The following is a 12266-nucleotide window of genomic DNA, read 5'->3' on the forward strand; positions in this document are numbered from 1 at the left end:
TTCTGTTTCGAAGCGTTCATTTTTGCTTGGATTTCCCATCTGGCCCTGCCACAGAGATGAAATATCACGTGTCAGGTGTTTCTGAGACACACATTCTTCCAAAGGAACTGGAAACAGCTGTTCTGCTGCTGAGTAATAAACTTTGCTCAGGGCTCCACTGCCCTGTGGCCAAGTTCTCTGATCCTCACACACCGAGGTCAGATAAAATGGGGCTCCCTTTTACAGATGAAACACCTAAGGCTCATAGAGTGACTTGTTTAGGACCACTCTTACCCAATGCTCAGAAAGCTTGGATGGGTCCCCATTTATTATAGGAGGAAGCTTAAACATTTTTGGTCTGACGTTTCAAGCTGCAATCCTTTCCAGCTATTTGTCTTACTACTCTGCTTCCTTCACAGTATGCTCCAGCTAAAGGGAACACTTATTATTCTACTACAAGCACCCTCTCTTCTCTTTCACCCCTTGGACCTGGGCTCCTGGGCCATATCCCTTCCTCCCATCTCCATGTGGCCAGAACCCCCCGCAGCTTAAGGCTTGGCTGAAGTGCTGGGTCTTCCATGAAGCCTTCCTCTGTCTAGAGTCAGGATGAATTTCTCCATAGGACCCCGTAGTATTTTATTTGTAGCACTGGCATTGTGCTCCCCCTGGTGCATTCAACTTTTCGAGCCCATTCATTTCCTTTCTCCTAGACCTGCCTTCTGTGAGGTCCAGGAAAGTATTGGCTTCATCTCTATGGCCCAGAAGTGATTGTCTTGCATGAGTGTTGTAGGTGGTCAGGTAGTGCCTGATGAATGAATGGAAAAACTGCTAAGCACATTGTTTCCCACAGTGGGGTCTGCAAAACCTAGTCCTGTGTGATGCTGCTCCATTAAAAGAGATTCTGTGGCCATACATGTTTGGGAAATGATGCATCCTATATCCTACTTCTGCCTTCCCCGACTTGGTGATTTATTATACACATTATGCATGTAATACAGATTAAAGGCTCTGAGAAGTCTCGCAGAGAAAGAGACCTGTTTAACTTGATGTTGCCTGGATATTTGACCTTGGAACCCTCTTAACATCTTGCCTTCTCACAGACTGTAAATGAAAGGTGACAACCATCACTGCTATCTAATTTTAGAATATTTTCAATACTATAAAAAGAAACCCTGTGCCCTTTAGCAGTCACTTCCTATTCTCCCCTCTGCCAGCCCCAGGTAACCACTAATTTACTTTCTTTTATTCTTTTTTGAGACAGAGTCTCACTCTGTTGCCCAGGACGGAGTGCAGTGGTGTGATCTCAGCTCACCTGCAGCCTCTGCCTTCTGCCTCGTGTCTCAGCCTCCCGTGTAGCTGGGACTGCAGGCGCGTGCCACCATGCTACTGTCTATCTCTGTAGATTTGCCTATCCTGGATATTTCACATAAATGGAATTATACAGTATGTGATCTTTTGTGACTGGCTTCTTTCGCTTAGCATAATATATTATTTTACTTACCATAATGTGTTCTTCTTTTGCTTATCTTCTTTTGCTTATCATACTGACATGGATCAGTATGACATGTCATAGTGTGGATTGGTATTTCATTCTTTTTTATTGTCAAATAATATTCCATTATGGAATATTTTCTTTGTTCATTCATCAGTTGATTTAACATAAACATTTGGGTTGATATATAAAGCCAAATAAGAATAGATAGATAGATAGATAGATAGATAGATAGATAGATAGATATGTCTGTGATGTGAACATTTGAGTTGTTTTTACTTTTGGGCCATTATGAATAATGCTGCTATGAACAATTGTGTAAAAGTTTTTGTTTGAACACATATTTTCAGTTCTCCTGAGTATATACTTAGGAGTGGAATAGTTGGGCCACATAACAACTCTGTGTTTAGTCTTTTGAGGAACTATCAGACTGTTTCCCAGAGTGGCCATACCATTCTACATTTCCACCAGCAGTATGTGAGAGTTTCAGTGCCTCTACATCTTTGCCAACACTTGCTGTTATCTCTTTTATTGTAGCCATCCTAGTGGGTGTGGAATGTTGTCTCATTGTGGTTTTTATCTGCATTTCCTTGGTGGTTAATGATATTAAACATCTTCCCATGTGTCTAGGGAGTTTTGCTTTCCAAGTGCTTGAGAAAGAGAAAAACAAAGAGATAAAGTTTCCTGTCACTGCCCATGGAAGACATAATTTCCATGTTTCTAGGATAAATCATTTGTAGCCTTGTGTGAATTTCTTCTCATCTGTAATCTTTGGTGTCCTCAGATTACTAGAAAATGATCAATAACTGAAAAAGCTGAGTGAGGGGTAAATAATTTCGTTTCCTAGGAATAGACTAAATGGTACCACCTACCACCTTGTTGCCTGGTCAAGAAACCTGAGCATCATCCTGACTCCTTGAATCCCCTGCATCCACCCCATCAGCAGCTCCTATCAGTTTGCCTTCAGAACTGTCCACCTCTCTCTCCCTGGGACCCCCGCAAGGATCACTCACTTGCTTTTTCCCTGTTGCAGCAGATTCTCTACTCTGCAGCTATAGTGGACTTTTCGAAATGTAAAATGTTCCTGTCCCATGCTAGCTCCCAGCTCGACCCCACCCCAAACCATTCAGTGGCTCACCTACCATTTTGCCATGACCTACAAGTCTCTTCACAATCTCTCACCAGCCCAACTGTCCAGCCTCACCTTGTTCCTCTTCTTTCCTTGCTCACCGTTCTCCATTGTTTTGCTTTTTTTTTTTTTTTTTTTTTTTTAATATCTAGAAGTCATCGAGCTCTTTCCTATCTCAGGGATTTTGCACTTGCTGTTCAGTTGGCCTGGAAAGTTCTTTTACTTCCTGTTTTTATGACAGGTCCTTCTTCATCAGGTTAAATTTAAACATCACCTTCTTTAAGAGGCCTTTCCTGACCACCCAAGGCACAGGGAGTCCATTCTCTTGCTTGTTTCCTCCAGGGTACTTACCTGCTCATCACGCTTTATAATTATATATATATTTATTTACCTGTTCATTATCACCTCTGCCATCATATGGCTTTTCTCCCCCAACCTTCCTCTCATATATGAGACCAGGGACCCTGACTGTTTTGTTTCACAAAGTATCGTCAGCCTTAACAGAGTCCATAGTATGTAACGGACATTCAATAAATTTTTACTGATTAAGGGCTTTTATAGTAGGGGACTGTATTATTCATTGAAATATATTTAAAATGCACATCCCTCCTTCTTCCAAAAGGAATTTTTAATGATTACAGTTTTAAAACATGTGGGAAAATTAAACAAGAAGTGTTAGAAATAGATTGCAAACCAATGAGACTAAGGATTTAGCATTTGAATACTAACATTAGCCCTGAATTTCCTGGTAGCTGGGGCAAGAAATCAAGGAAGTGTATTGAAATGTCCTCTATAGTGCAGAAGGAAGAAACACAGATATGCATCTGTAGTCACATAATTTTACATGCATATTTTAGCAATTCTGTTTTTTTCTGACTTTTAAAAACTCAGTCGTTTCAGCCAGTTGTACTTGCTTTACTTGTCTTTGGCATTTTTTTCCCATAAAATTTAAACTCTATCTGTGGCTCTAAGTGAGTTGTCTAGGAGTAAATTAGTCAAAAATAACCATTTCCATTTCCAGGCATTACTAAACAAATTGATAACTTTTATACACACAGAGTAATGTTAGAGCTTTATAGAGAATCTTAAACAGGTATTTTACTGAGGAATAGTGTCAACTTTCAAAGTTCCTGTGATTTCTTAAATTTTAGATTAATTTTCAGTAGGTGGTTATTGTTACAATCATTAGTCAAATTCAGTTGGTAGCCCTTAGTTTGAATGAGTGTCCCTGTTTGGGTAGGAGTAAACTGGTGAGACCTATAGTTACAGGAATGGGAAATTGTGCAGATATGATAAGGATGACTCCTCTGTTACCACTCGATTTCATATTCCAACGGAAAAATAACATTTACAGTATCAATGTTCTTTTAGAAATAGCTAAACTCGGCCAGGCCCAGTGGTTCATGCCTGTAATCCCAGCACTTTGGGAGACCATTCTGGCTAACACGGTGAAATCCCGTCTCTGCTAAAAAAAAAACAAAAAAATTAGCCGGGCGTGGTGGCAGGCGCCTGTAGTCCCAGCTACTCAGGAGGCTGAGGCAGGAGAATGGCGTGAACCAGGGAGGCGGAGCTTGCAGTGAGCCGAGATAGCGCCACTGCACTCCAGCCTGGGTGAAAGAGCAAGACTCTGTCTCAAAAAGAAAAAAAAAAGAAAAGAAAAGAAATAGCTAACCTCCCAAAAGGTCTCTGTGACATGTTTTGAATTTCTGTGTAAATAATGCAATGCAAACTGCTTAATAAAAGCTGCAACACAGTGACATTACATCATAAACTAATTAATTTTTAACCTTTTGCTTTCAATCAAATTGTCATCTTCTTTATAGCTTCGTATGACTACAGAAGTGATAAAATGACAAAGATTTGATGATAGTATATTTTTCCACTTAATATTACCAGTTCTTCGGCTGGGCGTGGTGGCTCACGCCTGTAATCCCAGCACTTTGGGAAGCCAAGATGGGCAGATCACAAGGTCAGGAGTTCGAGACCAGCCTGGCCAACATAGTGAAACCCCGTCTCTACTAAAAATACGAAAATTAGCTGGGCATTGTGGCGCGTGCCTCTAGTCCCAGCTACTTGGAAGGCTGAGGCAGGAGAATCTCTTGAACCTGGGAGGCAGAGGTTGTGTGAGCCAAGATCGTGCCACTGCACTCCAGCCTGGGCAATGGAGTGAGACTCTGTCTTAAAAAAAATAATAATACCAATTTACATAGTTAAATGGGATTCTTTTCCTTCGCAATTTCTTTCATTGCTTCTAAGCTTACAAAAATCTTCATCCAATACAAGTTTTTCAATTCAATTTAATAGCTTAAAATGTTTATATTTAATTCTTTAAGTTGGAGTTTATTTTAGTATATGCTAGGAGATGACGATCTAACTGGATTTTTTTTCCAAATTAGTAAGTAGTCATTCATATTACCATTAATTGTGAGTGATCTTTGCCTTCTTGATTCATTCTTTACTGACCCCTCCTTTATTGTATGTGAAATTCTGGCGTCTGTGAGTGGGAGATTGGACCTGTTTCTGGGCTGGCTATTCTGTTCCATTGATGTAACTGCCTACTTTTACACAGCTGTATTAAAATTACTTACGTTACAATAGTATTATGCATCTCATTATCTTTTTTTTTTTTTTTTTTTTTTTTTTTTTTGAGATATAGTTTCCCTCTGTTGCCCAGGCTGGAGTGCAGTGGTGCGATCTTGGCTTACTGCAACCTCCACCTCCTGGGTTCAAGAGATTCTCCTGCCTCAGTCGCCCGCGTAGCTGGGATTACAGATATGCGCCACCACACCTGGCTAATTTTTGTATTTTTTTAAATTTATTTTTGAGATGGAGTTTCACTCTTGTTGCCCAGGCTGCGGTGCAATGGTGCAACCTTGGCTCACCGCAACCTCTGCCTCATAGGTTCAAGTGATTCTCCTGCCTCAGCCTCCCGAGTAGCTGGGGTTGCAGGCATGTACCACCACACCCGGCTAACTTTTGTATTTTTAGTAGAGACAGGGTTTCTCAATGTTGGTCAGGCTGGTCTCGAACTCCCGACCTCAGGTGATCCACCTGCCTCGGCCTCCCAAAGTGCTGGGATTACAGGTGTGAGCCACCACACCCGGCCTAATTTTTGTATTTTTAGTAGAGGCAGTGTTTCATGTTGGCCAGGCTGGTCTCGAACTCCTGACCTCAAGTGATCCACTGGCCTCAGCCTCCCAAAATGCTGAGATTACAGGCGTGAGCCACCGTGACCAGCCTCATTACCTATTAAACTAAGCTTTTATTACTCTTCATTTTCAGTGCTTTTAGTCTTACCCACCTATTCTGTCATATGAAGTTTAGAATCATTTTATTATACTATTAAAACAAATAAGCATGAGATTTACTGAATTCTCTCTGTCTCTCTCTTTTTTTTTTTTTTTTGAGATAGGGTCTTGCTCTGTTGCCCAGGCTGGAGTACAGTGTTGTGATCTTGGCTCACTGCAACTGGCACCTCCCGGGTTCAAGTGATTCTCGTGCCTCAGCCTCCTGAGTAGCTGGAATTACAGGCATGCGCCACCACGCCTAGCTAATTTTTGTATTTTTGGAAGATACGGGGTTTCACCATGTTGCCCAGGCTGGTCTTGAACTCCTGATCTGAAGTGATCTGCCCGCCTCAGCCTCCCAAAGTGTTAGGATTACAGGCATGAGCCACCGCACCCCACCAAGATTTACTAAATTCTCTTATGCTTAATCTAGAAATGTTAGTTTTATAGAGCGAGATCTAAAGAAGCATAAAGAACTTAATGTGACATCGTGCTTTCTTCACTGCTTGGTTGTATCCTCAGGGCTTGAAAAGATATTTCTTTTAACTTGTCTTGAATGTTAATACTAATGAACATACATGCATGTCTACACACACAATGACACAAGGCACATACATGCATACATGTGTACACACCCATGCATGTATGCACACAGGCACACACATGCACATGTATGCATGCACGCACACACACACACACATATACACACATTTTGGCATCTTAGTGTCAGAAGCCCTTGCTGCTGGTTTTACACACTTTCCAAACTTACTTGGTTATTACAACTATAAGAAGTCTATTTACTAATTTTAAGAATGGTTTTGTTAAAACCTTTCTAATTCTGTTGACCTTTCTAATACTATTAATGGTGTAGAAAGACCCTTTTAGGCAACAATTTTTTTTTATTGTGTCTTGACCCATAGGCAAAAGTAGAGAGATTTGAGGGTAGTCTGGAAGGCTCCTGGACTGCATCTGCAGAGTTGCCATTATTTCCTGAATCCTGTTTTTAAAGTAATAATGGAAGAATTTCTCCTTTCAACTGTAGGAGCACTACCCTCACAATCTCCACAGTGAATGGCCCCCTAGAAACTGTTACAACCACAAGTGCATTCCTATGATTGTGATTACATGCTACATTTCCTTCTGGTACAGACTGATGCCTCTATTTCTGGTTTCTTTGAATCGTCTTTACGTTATGAAATCCAGTTTATACCAGATTTAGCTTTTAAAATCACTCAAGCTGAACATAATAAAGTGTTTAAACATAGATTCAAAATTGTTTCTCCACATCCTGCTGGAACTCGGAGGTGAATTCTTTGTTGTTACAGGATAGAGGTAGAATACATTTTCCAACATATCAGAGAGCAGATAAAAAGCCAGAGAATATGTGAAGTGCAATCAGTATCCATCTGGTAGTTTTCCTTTTCAGTGTTATTAACCAGCTCAGTATAAACTTGTGAGCTATGAAAAGTAGAATTCATCTATGTGAGACTGTTTTCATGATAAATGTAACATGTTTGTTCTGGTTCTACCTTAGGGGAGATCCAGTTATCTGGCAGGAATTTCATTAGTGTAACTATAGGGCTTCTGTTCTTCCAGTGTAAGATCACAGAAATGACCTCACATTTATGGTTTGAAACGATTACAAAGGCAGCAGAAACATGTTTTGAGATCAGTGCTTAGTTTGATATTTATAAGATGCTTCAGAGGAGGAAATGTTGTTACAGAGATCATTTCCTTTAGCTTACTGTCAATATTAAATGTTCTCTATGAGGAGCGGCCATGGTTTGGTCATGTACTTAGGTTAATCCCTTTCCAAACAAAAGCTAGAACATGGCCTTTGGGGAAAATGTCAAATCCAGACTTTGGGCCAAAGCCACTGACACTGTCCAGGGATTAGTCAATACAGTGCAATGTCATTTGTCCACCATTGTGGAGGACCGCACTCTGCCAAGTGGAAGATAACGGAGCCTGCCCATTTGAAAAGCATCAAAATGGATTCTGTTGAAACCCTGTAGTAAGGTTTGTTCTTTCTTTTGTTCTCCAAACAATTATTAACCCTACTCTATGGCTGGTACTGAGTTCAGCACATGGGACAAGAAATATGTGGTTCTTGCTACACAAACTAGTCCAGAGAGGACAAGAGACTTTGCACTGGTCTGTAGGTACATTTTGTAGGAGATATTTCCACCAAAATCAGAAGACTGAGTAGGAGTTGGGCAGGTAGACAGCATGATTGGATATGTTGGGGAAATTGTGTGTGTGTGTGTGTGCGCGCGTGTGTGTGCATGTACGTGTGTGTGTGTGTGTGTGTGTGTGTGTGTGTTTTGGAGGCAGGTGAGTTATTCTAGACAGAGGGAAGAGCTTGTCCAAAGGCCAATGTGTTTGAGGAACTTAGAGTAGGCTAGTTTGACTGGAACAAAAATATCAAAGAGAATGAATGACTTGGTCCTGGAGGCTGGAGTGATGGGCGGGAGCTGTATTAAGCCATATTCAGGATTTTGGATTATGCCATTCAGTCAGGGGAAACACATGAACAGAATTGTGTTTATAAAATCAGTCTGGCTGCTAGATGGAGAATCATTCAGGAAAGATGAGAATGGAAAGTGGGGAGACCAGTTAGCAGCCTAGTAGAAACCTGTCAGTAGGGCTGGTGATGGGGCCTGAAACAGAATGGTGGCTGTGGAGATGGAAAGAAATGGACCCTTTTTGAGATCTTCTCGTGTTGTGAGTGATTTGAAGGATAAGAGTGGAGGAAAGTCAAGGATGACTCTGGGATTCTGGCTTGAGCAATTGTCATTATCCTTATGATACCATTTACTGAGCTCTGAGACACGGAGAAGATAAGTTCTGATTAGGGCAATAGCCATAGGGTTGAGCTATATATCGAGTTAAGCAAACATAAAGGAAAATGACAAAGTTTCATCTCTGTTACTTATATTCAAATTGCTGTTCATTACTGGTTGTATATGCCTTTTCACTTTTCACTAATTATATTAGAGGTACAACTACATTAGCAGTAACATATTAGATATGTACAGTATTTTGCTCATTTATTTGCCCAATAAGCACTGATGCTTCCCGTGAGCAAAGATCTTCACTTGACAATGTGAGAAATACAGAGGTGGACAAAATGTGGTTCCTGTTTCCAAGGAATAAATAGTCTGTTAAGGGTAACAATATATGGAGTCAGATAACTTTAAATAAAGGTTTGGATGCTCGGGGCCATAAGAGAGGGTCAGAGCTCCAAGATGTGAGAACTTAGGTCTGGCTAGGAAATCAGAGAAGGAAGATATGACCTTTGAGCTGGACTTTGACTTGGCCTCACACTTTCTGCAGAGGCAGTTGTGTGAGCCAAGGCCCAGGGGTAAAACTGTTAGAGGTAAGATCAGTCTGGAGTGAAGGCCTGGGAAGGGGAGTGGTGGGTGGATGCTGGCTAGGGACTGAAGCCTCAGGACACAGGTCCACGAAGGCAAGGTTGAGGAGTTTGGCTTTTGTTCTGTGGGTGGTGGGGAATTATTAGGAGGAGAATAATTCTAGTTCTCACTTAGGAAGGGTAAACCATAGCTTACACAGTGCTCTGGAAGGGTATTTTCTAGATTGTGTTTCTTTGTATGTCTGAAGCTTTTAGGCCCACAATACTTTTTGATGTAGAGTCTTCGAGGTCATTCTTTGTTGTGTTTGGTTTATCTATTCCCTATCGGGTTGTTTTGAGTTTTCCCACTATTCTAAATAAAGCTGAGATTGATATTTTTGAATACTTAAGAGCCAGGGTTTATTGAACTCATACTCTGTTCTAGAACTTTACTAGGCATGGGAGACATGGAGATGAATGGGTACCACCCTTGTCTTCTAGGAACTCATGGTCCAGGATAAATAATATGATATTTTTTCCTTTGTGGTCATCAGTTCAAGGAATACCGGTCAAAATGGTAACAGAAGATCAAATTTAAAATTTAAATTCATGGTACAGGTTCACCAATGATTTCCTAGAGAGATTGAATTGCCAGTTTGTATTGTCATTCTTTAATCTCAGGACTAGTACCTGTTGGGCCTTATTATTTTTATTCATATTTGGTATGACACATAATAGTACTCCATAGCCCTTTCAGTTGTGCTTCTTTGATAAGGTTGTACATTTTCTGTGTTAATTTCCAGCTTGCTTTCTTCATGTGAGAGTTGTCAATTCACTTGCTTTGAGCATGTGAAATGTGGGTATCTACTATGTGTATTTATGCCCATTCTTCATATATTTGTATTATAAGCTTTCCCCACTTCAGGATTTTTTTAAATTTACTTATTTTCAGCTGCTTTATTGATAGATAATTTACATACCATACAATTCCCCCATTTGAAGTGTACAATTCAATGGTTCTTAGTGTATTCACAGATCTGCAACTGTCACAAGTCCATTTTGGAAGGTTTTCATCCCCCACAAAGGAAACCTATACCTATTAGCAGTGACTCCCAAACCTCCCAAACCTCCCTCCCTGAAGCCTTGGACAACCCCTAATCTACTTTCTGTCTCTATAGATTAGTCTGTTCTAGATATTTCATGTTAATGGAATCATACAATATGTGGTCATTTGTGACTGGCTTTCACTTAGCCAGATTCATCCATGTTTCATTCCTTTTTATTGCCAAATATTCTGTTCTGGAATACGGTATTTTATTTATCCATGTCATTAGTTGATGGACATTCGAGTTGTTTCCACTTTTGGACATTTACAGAAAATGCTGCTATAAATATTCATGTGCAAGTTTTTGTGTAGACATTTATTTTCATTTCTCTCCGGTACATACCCAGGAGTGCAATTGCTGGATCATGTTGTACACCATGTTTAGTCTTTTAAGAAACTTCCAGACACTTAAAGGACTTTCTAGAATTTCTATTCAGTTTCATTGGTGAAAGCCACACTATGCAGTTTTGATTATTGCCTTTGTCTGAAAGGAGTGCTTACTTTTCAACTGTAACTTTTCTGAAATCTAAGTATTTCTGATAGAAATTTAGAGTTCAAATTGATACGCGCTGTAAGTGTAAAATAGACCCTGGATTTTGAAGACTTAATATGAAAGAATGCAAAATCTCTCATCAATAATTTTTTGTATTAACTACGAGTTGAAATGATACTATTTTGGATATATTGAGTTAAATAAAATATATGTTATTAAAATTTATTTCACTTATTTTTTTCCTGTTTTTATGTAGCTATTAGAAAACTTAAATTTACGTATGCGGTGTGTATATTTCATTTGGACCGCACTGCTCTAGAAGCAGTGCTAGTGTGCCTATTGAAGAAAGTAGCCCCAATTTGAAACCTGCTTCCCAGCTGTATGACTTTAAGCAAGTTAAAATCTCTCAGAGCAAGATTTAGTCTTTTCACCTATAAAACAGGAATAATAATTGTACCCACCTCAAAAGTTTGAGGGTTGAGTGAGATATATATATATATATAATGTTAAATCACTCCCTAAAATATAGTTAGTATTCATAAATGTTATTAATTATTATTGTCGTTATTGCTGTGATTACCATCAATTTGTCAAGTTGTTTTTTAATCTGGAAGAATTTTTTATTTATATTACATTAAATCTCTATTTAATTTAGAACTTTTTTTTTTTTTGATACTTAGTGTTTCCATCCAGGAACCCAGCATAACTTTAACCCAATTATTGTGTTTTCCTTTATTGCTTTAAGGAAAGTTATATTATTTTCTTTAAATAAATCCTTCTTCCCCTGAATTACATTAGTACACATCACTAGTTTTGTTACTTGAATCCTTTCTTGGCATTTTCTAGATATTTAGCATTCACTCATTAAGAATGCCTAACACCGAATGTACATTCAGCTAATCTGCTTTTAATGAATTGTTTGATCCTTTTTGTGGCTGTGTTTTGTGTTTTTATCCTGCATCTCCACTAAACTTATCTTCTGGCACTAAAAATTTTCTTTGTTCATCATTTTCTGTGTGAATGTCATCTGCTAAAAAACAAAAAAAAAATAATAAGGTGGTACTTTTCCATTCCTGTGCTCATTATTCCTCTTGTCATTTTTCCTTCCCTGATAACTATTATTAGCATTTATCCTACTACATTAAATAAAACACCAAATTGTTTGTTTGTTTGTTTTTGAGATAGTCTCGCTCTGTCACCCAGGCTGGAGAGCAGTGGCATGATCTCAGCTCACTGCAACCTCAGCCTCTTGAGTAGCTGGTACCACAGGTGTACACCACCAAGTCCTGCTATTTTTTTGTATTTTTAATAGAGACAGGGTATTGCCATGTTGCCCAGGCTGGTCTTGAGCTCTGGGACTCAAGTGATTAGCTAGCCTCAGCTTCCCTAAGTGCTGGGATTACAGGCATGAGGCACTGCACCTGTAATG

At 39.5% G+C, this 12266-nt stretch overlaps 1 protein-coding gene across 8 annotated transcripts in view, besides 1 other annotated feature; it reads left to right on the forward strand.

The window, feature by feature from the left end:
- The window catches only part of FRMPD1 (FERM and PDZ domain containing 1), a 143676-nt gene that overhangs the window by 90104 nt on the left and 41306 nt on the right, over positions 1 to 12266 (forward strand). The gene's annotated exons all lie outside the window — the stretch shown is intronic.
- Positions 4040 to 4286: a silencer, noted in NCBI's record as "fragment chr9:37697369-37697615 (GRCh37/hg19 assembly coordinates)". NCBI's record gives its function as "represses an EF-1alpha promoter that drives an FKBP-Casp9 reporter gene in an ReSE screen in K562 erythroleukemia cells {active_cell/tissue: K562}" and the evidence as "EXISTENCE:reporter gene assay evidence [ECO:0000049][PMID:32094911]".

This window comes from Homo sapiens, chromosome 9 (genome assembly GCF_000001405.40).
Source record: "Homo sapiens chromosome 9, GRCh38.p14 Primary Assembly".
Taxonomy (NCBI): domain Eukaryota; kingdom Metazoa; phylum Chordata; class Mammalia; order Primates; family Hominidae; genus Homo; species Homo sapiens.